Source organism: Homo sapiens, chromosome 11, assembly GCF_000001405.40.
Source record: "Homo sapiens chromosome 11, GRCh38.p14 Primary Assembly".
NCBI classification, from domain to species: domain Eukaryota; kingdom Metazoa; phylum Chordata; class Mammalia; order Primates; family Hominidae; genus Homo; species Homo sapiens.
In genome coordinates this window covers 68593265-68609259 of record NC_000011.10, presented here as the reverse complement: position 1 = coordinate 68609259, position 15995 = coordinate 68593265, and the positions used below count along the sequence as shown (strand labels likewise).

At 42.9% G+C, this 15995-nt stretch overlaps 1 protein-coding gene across 81 annotated transcripts in view, besides 1 other annotated feature; it reads right to left on the bottom strand.

Moving 5' to 3' along the window:
* Nucleotides 1-15995, bottom strand: part of PPP6R3 (protein phosphatase 6 regulatory subunit 3) — a 154583-nt gene that overhangs the window by 6075 nt on the left and 132513 nt on the right. For all 81 annotated transcript variants that reach the window (NR_147971.2, NR_147966.2, NR_147967.2 and 78 more), the window contains 4 exons: nt 13042-13163; nt 8766-8919; nt 7291-7397; nt 5768-5918 (listed from right to left, as the gene is read on the bottom strand). Coding sequence is in view for 74 of the 81 variants with exons in the window: in NM_001352362.2 (NP_001339291.1) it covers nt 5768-5918; nt 7291-7397; nt 8766-8919; nt 13042-13163 (534 nt within the window). In the remaining 7 variants the exon portion in view is untranslated. The remainder of the gene's footprint in view (nt 1-5767; nt 5919-7290; nt 7398-8765; nt 8920-13041; nt 13164-15995) is intronic.
* Nucleotides 5875-6079: a silencer, noted in NCBI's record as "fragment chr11:68370649-68370853 (GRCh37/hg19 assembly coordinates)". NCBI's record gives its function as "represses an EF-1alpha promoter that drives an FKBP-Casp9 reporter gene in an ReSE screen in K562 erythroleukemia cells {active_cell/tissue: K562}" and the evidence as "EXISTENCE:reporter gene assay evidence [ECO:0000049][PMID:32094911]".

The following is a 15995-nucleotide window of genomic DNA, read 5'->3' as shown; positions in this document are numbered from 1 at the left end:
GCTGATCCTAAGGACACAGAGGATTTGGGTAAAATGAGACCCAGAAGGACTGTTTTTCCCCCTTAGATGGTTCTTGGTGGAGAAAGACACAAGAGACACTCTCCTCAGCTCTGTGGGCTAGAAATTTAGACTCTGCCTATTCAGTCTGGGATTCCCCTTTTTACATAATCACAATGGCACTAATAAGAGTGAAAGGTCCATCACTCAGAGCTGATTCTGTCCTGGATTTTGCTTATGAAAAATCTCATATTAGGATGCATTCTTGGGTCGTTTCCAGATAGTTCCAAGCAATTTATAAGTAGGAAAATGAGTTAAAATCATATGATTTAGTGATCATCTGAATTACCTGGTTCCTTCTTTGTAAAGTTACTCTTCTTCATCCCCATTCTCCACTCCTTTCCCTTCAAAGCAACTAATGTGTTTCTAATTCTAATTCTTTAAAAAATAGTCATAACACAATGTGTATTCTGAGTCGCTAACTGGGATGGATTCAACTCTACATCTCATTGTATTTACCTCTTAACTCAGCAAGTCGGGGAGACCCACTGTCCCCACTGACTGTGGCACAGCACCCGTGGCGTGCACCTACCACTCTACATGGCTTCTCCCAACCAAAGCTGCCCTCCACCTCACACTTCCATGCAGGGTGCTGTGACGACCATCACTGTCCACGGCCCCTGGCAGACCTGTCTGGGCGTTTCTCAGTACTTGACACCCAGGAGTGAAGAGTTGTAGGCCATTTTTCTACCTACAAAGAAGCCCACGCTACTACCCAGAATGACTGCCCTGGTCTGTATTCCTCACCAGCAGGCCACCAGGGCCCCGCAGGCTGCAGCCCACCGCCACTCAACATCATCCACCTTTAACTGCTGCTCGTGTAAGAAGAGTATCAAGTCCTATATTGTTATCGTTTATAATTCTCTGATGAGTTTTGAGCATTTTTGTTTGTTTGTTTGTTTTAGCTTTTAAGGCTTGTCTATAAACTTATCTTTTGCCAATTTTCTAATTTGGGTTTTCTTCTTCTTACTAGTTTATAGGAAGTCCTTGAATATATAATGTCAGTCTCTTGTTGATTTAGCTACTACAGATGTTTTTTTCAGTTTGCCATCAGCCTCTTAATTTTGTCTGCAGCATTTTATCAACCAGAAATTCTTAACTTTAATATAATCTAACTCAACTCTTTGCATTATAGTTTCTGTTTTTGAAGGCTTTTTTTTTTTTTTTTAAAGAAGTCCTGCCGAGGAAGGAGGCTCACTTGAAGCCAGGAGTTTGAGATCAGCCTGGGCCACAAAAATAAAAAAGTAAACAAACAAAAAAATTAAGCCAGGAGTGGTGGCACACAACTGTAGTTCCAGCTACTTGGGATACTGAGGTGGGAGGACTGCTGGAGCTCAGGAGTTGGAAGTTACAGTGAGCTATGATTGTGCCACTGCATTCCAGCCTGGGCAACAGAGCGAGACCTCGTGTTAAAAAAAAAAAAATCTAGATTAGATATAGACTGACAGATGATAGATTAGATAGGCAGACAGACAGATAGATAGATAGATGACAGACAGATGAGATAGATACAGAAGTCCCTTTCTGCACACAGGTTAAAAAGACATTCTGTATTTCTTTTATTAACCATCATGAGACTCTGGCCTCCGGCCTCATCACTTAACTCTAGTGCCTCAGTTTCCTCACCTGAAAAGCAGGGATAATAATCCCAGTACCTATCTTATAGGGTTCCTAAGAATAATCCATGAGCTACCACACATGGAGAGTGTAGAGAGCAGGGCCTGGTCCACAGAAAGCACTGCACATGTTTTTCTTATTGTCTTTTAATCCAGCTGGAGTTGTTTTAGAATGTAGATTAGGGAGGATCTTGCCTGACTTTTCCTTTTGGTGAACCAGCCCTTCCTCTCCCTTCCCCATTATTAATCCCTCTATTTCATCACACTGACACCTGTACCTGTTTGGACACTAATATCAAAACTGTTCCAATCACTGTGACTTTGCAGCGTGACTATCTGGCAGGGCAAGTCCCTTTTTCAATCTTCCCTTTTGGTTACCTCTAAGCAATTTGGGAACCTTCATTTTTCCATATAAATTTTAGAGTATTAAGTTACTTCTAAAAATCCAACTGAAATTTGGATTGAGACTGCGTTAAACACTAACTTCAGGATGGCAGATGTCTCTGCAGCACTAAGCTATGCCATGGTCTCCACTTGTCCAGATTTCTCTATAGAGACTTGGGTTAAGATCATTCCTGAATAATTTATATTTTGATGTATTTTGGAATAATACCTTGCTTTTTATGTTCTGGTTGCTTACTACTGATGAAGAAAAAGACTACTGATTTTTTAAACTGATTTCTTACTCAATAGCTTTACTGAATTCTTATTAGTTACAAGTTTGCTACTGACTTGGTTGTAGGTAATCATTACCACCTGCAAAGAACAACAGTTTTATCACTTCCTCCTGATCTTTACCTATAACTCTATTTCCTTTTCCTTCCAGGACTGCCTAACACTGGCAATGAAAATGGACATCCTTTAAGGCTTCATCTTAAAGTGAATGCATCTAAACTTTCCTCATTAGGTGTTAGTTTTGCTGTAGCATTTTGGTATTGGTATTTAACTTATACCAAGTTAATGAAATTCATTGCCAGGCGCGGTGGCTCACATCTGTAATCCCAGCACTTTGGGAGGTGGAGGCAGGTGGATTGCTTGAGCTCAGGAGTTTGAGACCAGCCTGGGCAACATGGTGAAACCCCATCACTACAAAAAAAAAAAAAAAAAACTACATAAATTTGCTGAGCATGGTGGCGTGTGCCTGTAGTCCTAGTCCCAGTTACTTGGGAGGTTGAGGTGGGAGGATGGCTTAAGCCCAGGAGACAGAGATTGCAGTGAGCCGAGATCCACATCACTGCACTCATCTTGAAGAAGAAAGAAGAAAGAAGAAGAAAGAAGGAGGAAGGAGGGAGGAGGAAGAGGAGGAAAGAAGAAAAATAAATTCACTTCTGTTACTGGTTTTCTCAGAGTTTTAATCATATATAGCTATGGAACCTTATAAAAAAAATCAAATGACTGACTTTCTGTCTAACACCATATATGGAGATTAAACTGACAGATTTCTCTGACTTTGAGCCATCCTTGCCTTCCAGGATAAACCCTAACTAATCATTATAAATTATTTTTAATACACTGTTGGATCCAGTCAGCAAATACCTTACACAGGATTTTTGCATTCAGTAGCCTGTAAGTGGCATGAACTGATCATTTTCTGTAATTATCTTTATCTGGTTTTGGAATTCAAATTTCACTGCCCTCATAAAAAGAGCTGGGCAGGTTTTGTACTTTTTCTATCTTCTCTAACAACTTAAGATAGGAATTAGTAGACTGGTGAGCACGAAATAGCATTTACTTACTACTGTAACTGACAGGTCCCATTTACTCTGGATTTGGTTTGCTCCTTGTTTTCCTCCACAGACAGTTGCTTGTTTGCATCCTTTGTCCATTTAAAAAAATTAGACTATCTCTCATTGATATAAGGTTATTTCTAATATCCTGGCTACTGGTTCTTTACTGGTTGTGGCTTGTCTTTTCATTTTATGTCTTCTGGGATATTAGAAATTAAAGTCAAACTTACCAAGATTTTCCTTTATGGTTTGGCTTTTTATGGTTAAAAAAATGCCTTACACCCAAACTGTAAAGATACTCTCTTTTGTTGTCTTCTAAAAGCTGTACAGTTCATGCTTTTCATATTTATGTTGAGACAAAATATCTAATTTTATTTTTCTACTATGTGGATAATCACTATTTACTAGTCCACTCTTTCCTCATTGAATTATAATGGCATTCTAACATGTAACAAGTTCATGTAGTGGAGGGGGTCTCTTTGTATAATTCTTTGCCAAAGCCACACCATCTCAGTAGCTTTACTAAGTTTTGTTTTCGCTTTTGTTTGAGACAGGGTCTCATTTTGTCCCCCAGGCTGGAGTGCAGTGGGGGACACAGCTCACTGCAGCCTCGACTTCAGCACCCCCAAGTAGCTGGGACCACAGGCACACACCACCACACTCAGCTAATTTTTGTATTTTTTGCAGAGACAGGATTTTGCCACGTTGCCTAGGCTGGTCTCAAACTCCTGGGCTCAAGCAATCTGTCTGCCTAATCCTCCCAAAGTGCTGGGATTACAGGTGCAAGCCACCACACTCGGCCAGCTTTACTAAGTCTTGATATCTAATATGGTGAAGCCCCTCACTTTTTTCTTTAAAATGTTTTTGGCTATTCCTGGCTCTCTTTGGTCTTATGACTATTACAATCAGTTTCTCAATTTCCATGAAAATCTCTATTGGGATTTTGATGGAAATTTCATTAATTTCATAGACTAACTTGTTCAGAAATGCTAAAAATATCTTCACATTGATAAACATGGCAAATCTTGGTATTTATATTCAGGTCTTCAATATATTCCATGAGATTTTAAACTGTTTTCCCATAAAGGTCATATTCCTAGTTATAGATAAGGTTTTACATTTTTATTAAAAACAGGCACATTTGGAATATCTTATATTGATTTATAGGATGCAAGTGATTTTGTATGTCTCCAGTAAACCTGCTAAACTTTTCTATTAATCCTTATCTACAGATTCCATTGGAATTTTTATGTATAAATCATAGCCTATCAACAGCGACTATTTATTTATTTGGAATGCTGCATTTGCTAAGGCCACCAGCACAGTGCTGAAGACAAATAGCAACTGTAGGTCCCACTTTCTGGTTCTTGTCTTTAAAGGGAATACTTCTAATGCCTCACTGAAGAATCAAGTCTACTCTAGATTTTCTAGAGATACTTACCAGTTTCACCTATTTACTTTCTATTCCTAGGCTGCAAAGAAAATCATGAACAGCTTTAATTTGTAATCAAATGCTTTTCTCCTTTTGTCTGGGAATTACTCTGAATAATTTTTACCATGTACACACTGGTGTTTACATTGTGTCACTGGAGCACATATCCTTGGTCATGACTTTAAAATACATTGCTACATTTGGTTTGCTAGCTTTTAACTTAAGTTTTGAGAATAATTGCTCATGTATGAAATCAGTCTACAGTCAGTTTTCTTCTTTCACTCCTTGTTTTGTAGTGACCTCGCAATAAGCAGGGAGGCATTCCTTCTTGTAATGGCTGGAATGGTCTCTAAGACTAAAGCTCTAAGCACAGGCTTAGCTTCAGTCCTTAAGTTTTGACAGACATTTTTCCCATTATTCTCTCAGTTTTAGGTTTTTAATATCCATTACAATTCCTTTTTTGAGTTTAGAAGTGAATTTCTAAGGGTCACGTTCTTTTAAAGCTATCATTTTGCTACTGAATTTTCATGACTGCATTATGTCCTGAGATAATCATCTGTATGTTACTGAAAATAAGTAAAGGTTTTTGTAAAACCAGTCGACCTGAAACCGGTTTTCATGGGCCATGCTCTGTAGCCTGTTACACAAGCCAATTTCTATTGTGATTAAAGATTTATCAATTCTCATAGTTCTATCAAACTGCTAGATGTAAAATACAGTCTTCTGAACACATTTATGGGGGAAAAGGCACTTAGGGGCCTAAACTCTCCATCTCTTCATTAAGATTTATTGTGTTTAATGGAGACAACAGAAAGACATCAAGCTAGTATCTGAACATTCATTTGAATCAAATTAAAAATTTTAATGTTTGAGGTTTCTGCCCCACCATCCTCCCAATAACCTGAAGCTACCAGCAGGATCTCACCCCTGGTTACCTTTTGAAGACCGCAGTCTCTGTCTTGGCATCTACAGTGAGGCTGAGCGTTTCCTTCATGCCGCCATTCATCACTGTCTCAGTTACCTTGTCTGTACTTTCTGCATCCTCCTCTCCGTCAGAGCTGGCTTCCATGGCCACACTGCCTGCCGCTGAAAAGAACACAGCTGATGGTCACACACAGCAAGCCCGAAAAGGAACTGGCACCCCACCACTGTACAAACCCATCTACCCAACGTGACATCTACTGCTTGAAGAAAAAAAAGAGTGAGATGGCTTCTGCCTGCTGTTGTCTGGGCCACATTCTTGATGGGGAGAGACTTCTTAAAGATGCCCACTAAAGAGGGGTTTCATGGGTTTTCTTTACTAGAGACTAGCAAGTCGCCTACATCCCTCCCAGCTCAGCGTCCACCTCCATACCCAGCTTCTCCCAGCAGACACTTGTGCTCCTAACTGTTCCAGTGTGGGGCAGAGCAGGCAGTTACACACTCTACCCTCTACTCACTTGTTTTCCTCAGTTGGGCTCTATTTGCTTTGCTTTGTTTTAAAAATTACTTTCTTGTGGTGTTGCTGGTGGATCGTTTCTTTGTTCTCTAATGGGAAGCCAACATAGGTGATGAGCCTGGCTGAGGTGAGGCTTCCTGGATTCAAACATCGACATCACCACTTCCTAGCTGTAGACTACTTGGACAAGGAACCTCATCTATAACCTGAGTTTCCTCATCCAGGAAAGGGGATCAGTGCACCCACTTACAGAACCACTGAGGAGTCAAATGCGGGAATCTGTATCAAATGTTCAGGAGGATGATGAAACCAGCATTAGTTATTGGTTTTATTCCTTTCCCTTGCCCCTGGGAAGGAGGGTTCTCACACCCTCTACCAAAACCTCATTTCATTTTCTAAGAACTCACTCCTTAAGCCCACCTCATGATTCGTGCCCTCCACATCCTTTTGGTTCCCATCACACTCCCTTTGCTAGCATCCCCCTCCTCCCAAAGCCCCGTCCATCAAGGTGAAAACAGTTCAGGGCCGTGCAAGGAACACATTTGACTAGGTAGAGTAATAGGAAAACCCACTGGAACTTTAGAGATTCCCAGGACTATTCAATCTGCTTACAATGGCGAAGTGAAAATAACCAGCCCCATAGCTCTAAACAAACCCAGATACACCTACATGCTTGAGCAAAGCAAACTCCAAGGGACAACTACACACAGGCTTGGCTGCACACGTCTAATTCCAGTTTTATTCACCCTGGGTACTATGGGCTTAGGCCTTCTTCCCTCTAGACCTCAGTTTCCTAATCTGCACACTGCATGCCTGGTAACTTAGAGCCCTTACTCTTTCCAGAGTCAGCATGCTGTGGTTCTAGAAGGACAGGCACAATTTCTTTCATCAGCTGCCCTGTGGACATCAGACCCACCATCTCACTCCCGGGCTCCACTAGCCCCTGAGCCTGAGAATCAGGTCTGGTTTGACAAAGCAGCCACGTGACCCTGGCGTGTACCCAGGCCTCTCTGCACGCACCTTCTGGCTGCACTGCCAGGGCAGCCGCACTGGGAGTCAGAGGGTCCATGGGTTCAGTGCTGGTTTCCATTTCCACTGGAGAATTACTCCTTAAAGAATCTTTTGTGCTTTCAAAAAAGAGAAAATTCAGATATTAGCAGCAGGGAATGGTCCTCAGTTACCCCAAGATTCACAATAAGCCTTTACAAGTAAGTTTTTGTTAGGAGACATTAGCATCTGTGTAAGAGTCACTGGGTTACAAACTCCAGTGACACATGGATCTAAGTGCCAGTAGCTGTTTGAAGAAGGACATGAGTGCGGGCAGGCAAATGTTCTGTTAAGCCAGCAAGGCAGTAAGACAGGGACTTTGTAAAGCATTCTAGACAGGCTCATCATGTCCCAACTTCTCATCCCACCATAGTCACTAGGAGGCTCCCAGAGCTTGAACAGCAAAGACGTACATTGTGCAATGGCAACGGTATTTATCAGGTTGACTGGTTTTACAAAAACCTTTACTTATTTTCAGCCACACTGCCTGGGAGAGACTGGCCCTCTTAATGATATTTGTTGTTGGAACTGTGGAAACATAGTAAAAAAACACCAAATGCCTGAGCAGTAAGGGGTAGGGGTGAGGGAGATCATTACACTTCCTCTTTTATCCCTCATTCCCACAAACTCAGAGACGTGCACACAGAGGGTAAAGAGAAGCAAGCTGCTTCAATCACACCCTCAAGTAACCAAAGGCTCTTATCCTCGGGTTATAAACAGACCAAAAAAAGGAGTAGGCGGAAATGTATGTCCTGTACTGAAAAGCGGGGTAGACGAAATAACTCATTATTTTGGAGACATTTTTCACAAATCTCACTTGTACCTCTGAGTAGTAACTTAATGCTATTACTATGGTTACTACAAAGCAACATGGGTTTCAGCCTATTCTTTGGTTTGTCTAAGACACTAACTGTCAGCCCAAAACAGCTTGTCTTCCTATCTTCCGAGTTACCAATGATTGGGAGCCCTTAATTGACAGCACTGGACTAGCTGCAAGTGAACTGTAAGTTCATATTATCTACTGAATTCAAGATCCATTTTGTTTGCCTGCCACACCCCACACAGAGGTGCTGTGCCTGTCAGGATTTCTTGGCTTCACCTCATTCCTCTTCTCCTCAATTCTGTCCTGACAGCTCTATGAAGCCAGAAAAGCTCACGGAGATGCATCTTCTGCTGCGTCCTGCTAACTCCCTGGGACCGCATCCTCACAAGCTACTTTGTTCAAGAACTACTCCCATTTCCAATTAATCCAGGAGGAAAGGAAAGGAAGATGGTGATTGTTCTTCTTACAACACAGAGCTGTGTTAGTATGCTGATGTTTAATCTTTTTCAGGGCAGTATATTCAACTTGGAAGTCAGTCAAGGTGAAGAACACACGTTAACAGCAAACACCTGACCATTCCCAGGTCCCCCGTGGAAGGGTGTAGAGACAGCACATGTTCGCTCACCTCAGGGAAGACGTGAACTCTGAAAAAGAAGCCCAGCCCGTCTCTTTAGTTGGCATCGGCTCCTCTGTGCTCCAGACATCAGATCCCACAGAATCCAATGGAGCACCGTGGGTTGTTTCCATTGGGACATCAAAGTTAGCTGACCAGTTGGGTGCTAAAAAGAGGGGAGAAATTCTATTTGGAAAACACTTCAGTCGTTTCATGTACCACAAGGTATTTATCAAAAACACATTAGCAAAAGAGACTGGAGCTGTGGGAGAAAGACACTCTCACCAATGAGGGCAGGAGCGGACAGGGCACAGCCACCTGGAGGGCACTCTAACAATGATCCCACATTCTCAAACCTCCCATTTCTTTTTATTATTATTTTTTTGAGATGGAGTCTCGCTCTGTCGCCCAGGCTGGAGTGCAGTGGCACGATCTCCGCTCACTGCAAGCTCCGCCTCCCGGGTTCACGCCATTCTCCTGCCTCAGCCTCCTGAGTAGCTGGGATTACTGGCACCCGCCATCACGCCTGGCTAATTTTTTGTATTTTTAGTAGAGACAGGTTTCACTGTGTTAGCCAGGATGGTCTCAATATCCCGACCTCGTGAACCGCCCGCCTTGGCCTCCCAAAGTGCTGGGATTACAGGCGTGAGCCACCGCGCCTGGCCTCAAACCTCCCATTTCTAACAACTGTTCCAAAAGAAATACTACACAGAGATTCAAAGCTACATGCACAAAGAGGGATTAATGTTAATTTCTTAGTTTTGACAAATGTACCATGGCTGTATTCATACTTGGGGAAGCTAAGTGAAGGATATATGGAGACTTACTATCTTGGCAATGTTTCTATAAATCTAAATTATTCAAAAGTAAAAAGGTTATTTTTCTAAAAAAAGAACATGTTGATTATTCAACTCCAATAAACTAGAAATAACCTTAATGCTTCCCAGTCCGGGTCTGACTGCACTTCGCCCATTCTGCGGGCTCCCTGCAGTGCACTGCAGTTAGGCTTCCTAAGTCCTGCAGAACCAGGTCTGGCCTCAGAGGCTGAAGCGGCAGGACTTGCTTGAGCACACTTACGGTCTGTGGGGCTCTTCTTACTATGCTGCCTGCTGGCCAAGTTTGGGTCTAATCTGCAGGTCTCTCCTTAAATGTCACCTCCTCAGACATGTGTCCCTTCTGATGAAGTCAGGTCACTGTGGATCTGCTCTAACTGCACACCATGCTTTTCCTTCACAGAGTGCTGAATCCTCAATTCTTTGCTGGGGACAAGCCAGATGTGGGAACCACTGCATTCCATCAGGGATATTATCATAATTAGGAATCTCTAGGTTGCAGGAAGGAATGCTAGGGAAACTGGTATAAGTTATTTAAGGGCTTAACCCAGACACAAGTGACTAAGATTAAGAAGTACCCGTGTAGAATAGAAATGTTCTGAGTTTAAAGACAGACTTGACTGTGACTTTCCCCAAGATATCTGACTTCATCTGTTTGATTTCATAATGACTATTCACTTAGCAAAGATCACAGGAGGGCCTGCACAGAGTAGGCATTTAATTAGGGTGCGCTCCATGCTTCTTGCCCACCTACCTGTGTGAGTGTCACAGGGCTCCACTGACACCAAGAAGGAATAAATGCTTGAATGTTTGAAAATCTCACCTGAAACCTCCAAAAAGTCAACTTGACAGTTATTTTTGCCTGCCCACTCTATGCAAAGCTCTGGAATCATTCTATCTGAGTTCTACTCTACAACTAAATTATATTACACACAAATGACTTTTCTGTTATCTCTTTGAGATAGTCTTTCCCAGATGAGCTCCTCAGAGTCCGTGTAACATTTTAAATGATTCTGAATGTCCACAAAACCTCCAACAGAAGCCACAGAGACTGGTGGAATGGCAGAGGCTCTCTGGGGCAACCCTGTAGCCCTGAAGCCCTGAGAGAGAATCTTCCCCAACCCTACCCACTTGTGTCTCCAGAGATCTGAAGATGCAAAAGCTGTCTTTCCCAAGGAACAGAGAAGCAGGAGGCCTGGTTCCCTGCCACACTTAACCCCGGGAGGTAGGTAAACGCGAACCTCATCCAGGGTGCTCGCCTCCTCGCTGCTTATCCCTACACCCAGGCCCACAGTCACAGCAGCAGCGGCACGCAGTCCAGCCAAGTGTGTTTCCCTCCCTGTCACTTAACCATACCCAGCCTGCTAAAAGAACCAAAGATTCCAGAATGTCATTCGGCCTTCGAACAAAAGGAAATCCTGTATACACCACAGCAGGGATGAACTCTGAAGACATTATGCTAAGGGAAACAAGCCAGTCACAAAGATAAATACTGTATGATTCCATTTATATGAGATCCCTAGACTAGTCAACCCCAGAGAAACAGAGAGTAGAATGGAGGCTGCTAGGGACTGGGGAAGTAGAAATGAGGAATTGTTTAATGGGTACAGAGTTTTAGTTTAGGATGAAAAAGTTTTAAAGACCTGTTACACAACAGTGTGAATATACTACTGAACTGTACTTTTTTTTTTTCCCCAGATGGAGTCTCACTCTGTCGCCCAGGCTGGAGTGCACAGCATGATCTTGGCTCACTGTAAGCTCCATCTCCCAGGTTCAAGCGATTCTCCTGCTTCAGCCTCCCGAGTAGCTGGGACTATGGGTGTATGCCACCATGCCCAGCTTTTTTTTTTTTTTTTCAGTAGAGACAGGGTTTCACCCTGTTGGCCAGGGTGGTCTCGAACTCCTGGCCTCAAGTGATCCGCCTGACTCGGCCTCCAGAAAGTGCTGGGATTACAGGCCTGAGCCACTGCACCCAACCTTGAACTGTACATTAAAAAAACCAACAACAACAACAACAAACCCTACAGATTCCAGAGCCAACAGATCAGGGCATCTGCCCTGTCTCCTCCTCACACCTCCCTGCTGCCTGGAGCCCATCTTGCAGTTCTCATTATTTCTCATGTGTAACAGTTCAATGTCTTCATGGTTCTCCTGTCTCTACCATGCGTTTTCTCGTCCATTTTTCACTGTTGCCATGAATGTCTTGAAACAGAACCAATAATGATCTTCTTAGTCAAATCCTCAAGGGCTCCCTACAACCTTCAGAATACAACTCCTGATCTGGCCTCTGGCCTTCGCTCCCGCCACCTCATCCCCGAGCCATGCAAAACAGCACGTTCTGGGCATTTGGATTAGCTGTTTTCTCTCTCGCACGGGCAAATCCCTACGGGTCCTTCAGCCTCATACCCACCTGCCTCTACAAAGAGGCCTAATGGAAGGCTCCCCTCTTCTAGCACCCTGTACCCATTCCCCTGCACTGCCCATCTGCTTCCCCAGCCGACCCCAAGCCCCTGGAGGCAGAGTCTGTGGCCCGTTCACAGTTACAGGCCTAACACCTGGCATACAGTAGGAACTTGACAAAGGCATGTTGACTGAAACTGAATTACGGACAGAAAAGTCCACTTCCTCCTCCTGAGGGTGGGCTGGAAAACAGGCAGCAGAAAGAAGATCTCTCTTCTTCTCCCATCCCGTTTCCTTATCTGCAACATGTGGCAGTTTGCTGGATGACTGATCTGGTCCCATCTAGCTCTGAAGTCACCACAAGGTCCACCCTAGCTGGGCTTCAGCCTCTGGGATGAACATAAAAAAGGCCTTGCAGGGCAATCAGAGACTGGCCAGGCTTGGGGCAAGCCTCGCTATCAGCCCATATGGCTCCTTCACATGAACGTTTGTTTCCCAAACCTTTAGAAGTTTTTGAAGTATTTTTAAAAGGCCAGCTAACTCAAGTCTTCCTAGCAAGGAGCAGGGCACAAGCAAGCACTCAGCTGGACAAGTTTCAAGGCTGTGAGCTTCTGAAATCAACTACGAAGAACGCACTGAAATGCTTGTTAAGCTAAGGCTGCGTCCCCTGGCTGATTCCACTCACGAAGCCACACAACACAACCATGTCCTCCTCTTCCCACCAACACAGGGCCTTTTCCTTCTGCAAGAGCACACAGGGTACACAGCCAGAAGACTGACCTAGCAGTGGGCTCTGTCCTCCAGCCAGACCCACACAGCTGACGTTCATTTCCTACCAGGAAGGGGAGGTACCTTATCCACAAATGCATTCTGTGCTCCTTCCCTGAAGCTGTCTCTGAAACTTAAACCTCCAAGAGGAATTCACTTGACAACACGCTTCAACCCAACCTTTCCTTCAGATATCATCTCAGATGCTGTGAACTGCTCCTTTGCCAATTGTTCACAATACCTAATTCCAACACAGGGCAGCTGATCTGAAGAATGAATCCACTTACGTTCACTCAGGTCCACCTCCATTTTATCCTCCGTGTTGGCACTGCTGGGTTCAAACAAGTCTTGCTTTGCTCCATCTTCTTCTTCAGAGTCTGTACTTTCCTCACTGTCTGTACTCCCCGAGCTAAGGAAAAACAAGACCCAAGTATTTAACACTGCTTATCAGCCACCAGCTAAATCCAGAAAATTCTAACAGTCATCCAGCAACAAAAGGTCCTGTGGTGCTTCAGCAGGATCACATCTGTCTGAGCACCACGTGGTCAGGATGCCCGGGAAGACTCAGCTTTGCGTGCGTGCTGCCCAACCTCACACTAAGCCTCCACCACAGGAACACATGGGCTCTGCTTAAAGTGGAGGCCACAATCTAAGAACCACCTTCTCGAAGGGGTGGAGGTGTTCATTTCACTGTGGTGTTCATTTGTACTTTCCTAATGACCAAGGAGGTTGAGCATCTTTTTAAATGCTTATTTGCCATCTTATATCTTAACTGTCTTTTCACACTTTTGTGCTTTTTAAAAACTGAATTGTCTTTTTCTTGAGTAAAGAGATTTCTTAACTCTATACACAAGTCTTTTATCTAATGTGTCATTTGCAAATGTTTTCTCCCAGTGCATGGTTTGTCGTTTCATTCTATTAAAAGTGTCATTTGAAGAGTGAAAATTTTAAATTTTGATGATGTTCGGCTTACTAAAATCATTCTTTTATGGATGGGCATGGTGGCTCACGCCTGTAATCCCAGCACTTTGGGAGGCTGAGGCGGGCAGACCACCTGAGGTCAGGAGTTTGAGACCAGCCTGGCCAACATGGCAAAACCCCATCTCTACTAAAAATACAAAAATTAGCTGGGTGTGGTGGCGGGCACCTGTAATTCCAGCTACTCCAGAGGCTGAGGCAGGAGAATCACCTGAACCTGGGAGGCAGAGGCTGCAGTGAGCTGAGATCACGCCACTGCACTCCAGCCTGGACAAGAAGAACAAAACTCCGTCTCCAAAAAAAAAAAAAAAAAAAAAAAAAAAAAAATTATTTTTATGTATTGTGTTTTTGGTGATACATCTAAGAAATCTTTGTCTAACTCAAGGTCACAATGATTTTCTAAGTTTTCTTGTAGAAGTTTTATAGTTTAATGTTTCACATTTGGGTCTAAGATCCATTTTGAGTTAATGTATTATATAGTAAGAGGTACGAATCAGTTCACTTTTTTGAATATGGATGCCTGATGGTTCCAGCACCATTTGTTGAAAAGACTATCCTTTCTTCACTGAATTGCCTTTCGCCTCTATCAAAAGTCAGTTGTCCATATATGCGTAGGCCTGTATTTATGGGCTCTCTATTCTGTTCCACTGATCTATGCCCTACCTTCTTGCCCATATCATACTGTTTTAACTATTGAATTTTAAAATAAGGTAGTGTTTGTCCTCCAATTTTGTTGTTCTCTATAAGAGTTGCTTTGGCTATTCTAGATCCTTTTCATTTCCATATGAATTTAAGAAGCAGCTTGTTAATAGCTACAAAAAAGGCTGGAAGGATTTTGTTTGTGTTGAATCTATAGATTCAACCTGGGGAGGAGAGCTGGCAGCTTAGTATTATAATACTGAGTCTTCCTACTTATAAACATTTACCAAGTTGTCTTTATCTCAGCTATGCTTTAGGCTTTTCAGCATACAGGTCTTGGACATGTTTTGTGAGATTTGTCCCTACATATTTAAATTTTTTCTTTTTTTAAAAAAATAGAGATGGGGTCTCCCTATGTTCCTCGAGCTGGTCTCGAACTCCTGGGCTCAAGAGAGCCTCCTGCCTTGGCCTCCCAAAGTGCTGGGATTGTAGGCATGAGCCACCATGCCCAGTCATATTTAACTCACTCTCTCTCTCTCTCACTCTCTCTCTCACTCTCTCTCTCTTTTTCTCTCTCTCTCTCTCTCTCCTCTCTCCTCTCTCTCTCTCTCTCTCTCTCTCTCCCCCTTTTTTAAGAGACGGGGGTCTATATCGCTTAGGCTAGAATGCAGTTATTAGGTTGTGTAAACATTTAAAGTTGCTATGTCCTCTTAATGAATTGACCCCTTTATCATTATATCACTTTCTTTATCCCTTTCCTTTGAAATCTTTTGAGATTAATACAGACCTTCTGGCTTTTTCTTAGTGTTAACATATCTTGTTCTTTTTTGTGTTTTCATATATACTTGTTTCTTTGTATTTAAATCATTTCCCATAGGCAGCATTAATTAGGCCTCATTTTTTATCCAAACTGACCATCTTTGTTTTTTGTTTTTTTATCTTGGCTCCCTGTAGCCTCGACTTCCCAGCAATCCTCCTGCTTCGCCTCACAGCAGGCACACGCCACCATGCCCAGCTAATTTTTGTATTTTTTGTAGAGACAGGGTTTTGCCATGTTGCCTAGGCTGGTCTCAAACTCCTGGGCTCAAGCAACCCATCTGCCTTGGCCAACCAAAGTGCTGGGATTCTAGGTGTGAACCACTGTGCCCAGCCAATCTCTGTCTTTTAAATGAGGGTGTCTGCATCGTTTGTTTCACATGGTTATTTAGGACTAACTCTATCATTCTGCTGCTCAGTAGTTTTGTTTGTCCAGGCTGCCCTTTGTTCTTTTTCTGCTTTCTTTTGTATTTTATGATTTGATTTTATTTCCTTTGTTGGCTTATTAACAATAACTTTTCGTTTTGTTATTTTAGTGACTATTTTAGGGTTTACAGTATGCACCTTTAACATCACAATCTATCTTCAAGTGACATTATAGGCCTCAAACCAGAAACAACCAAAACATCCATGAATAGGAAAATGAATAAACAAACTGTAGTGTATCCTCTTAATGGAATACTACCCAGCCCCTGCCCAACCCCACAAAAATAGAAATGGACTACTAATACATTAGACAACATGGACAGCTCTCACATTAATTATGCTGAGTGAAAGAAGCTAGACAAAAAAAGTATAATGTATTGAT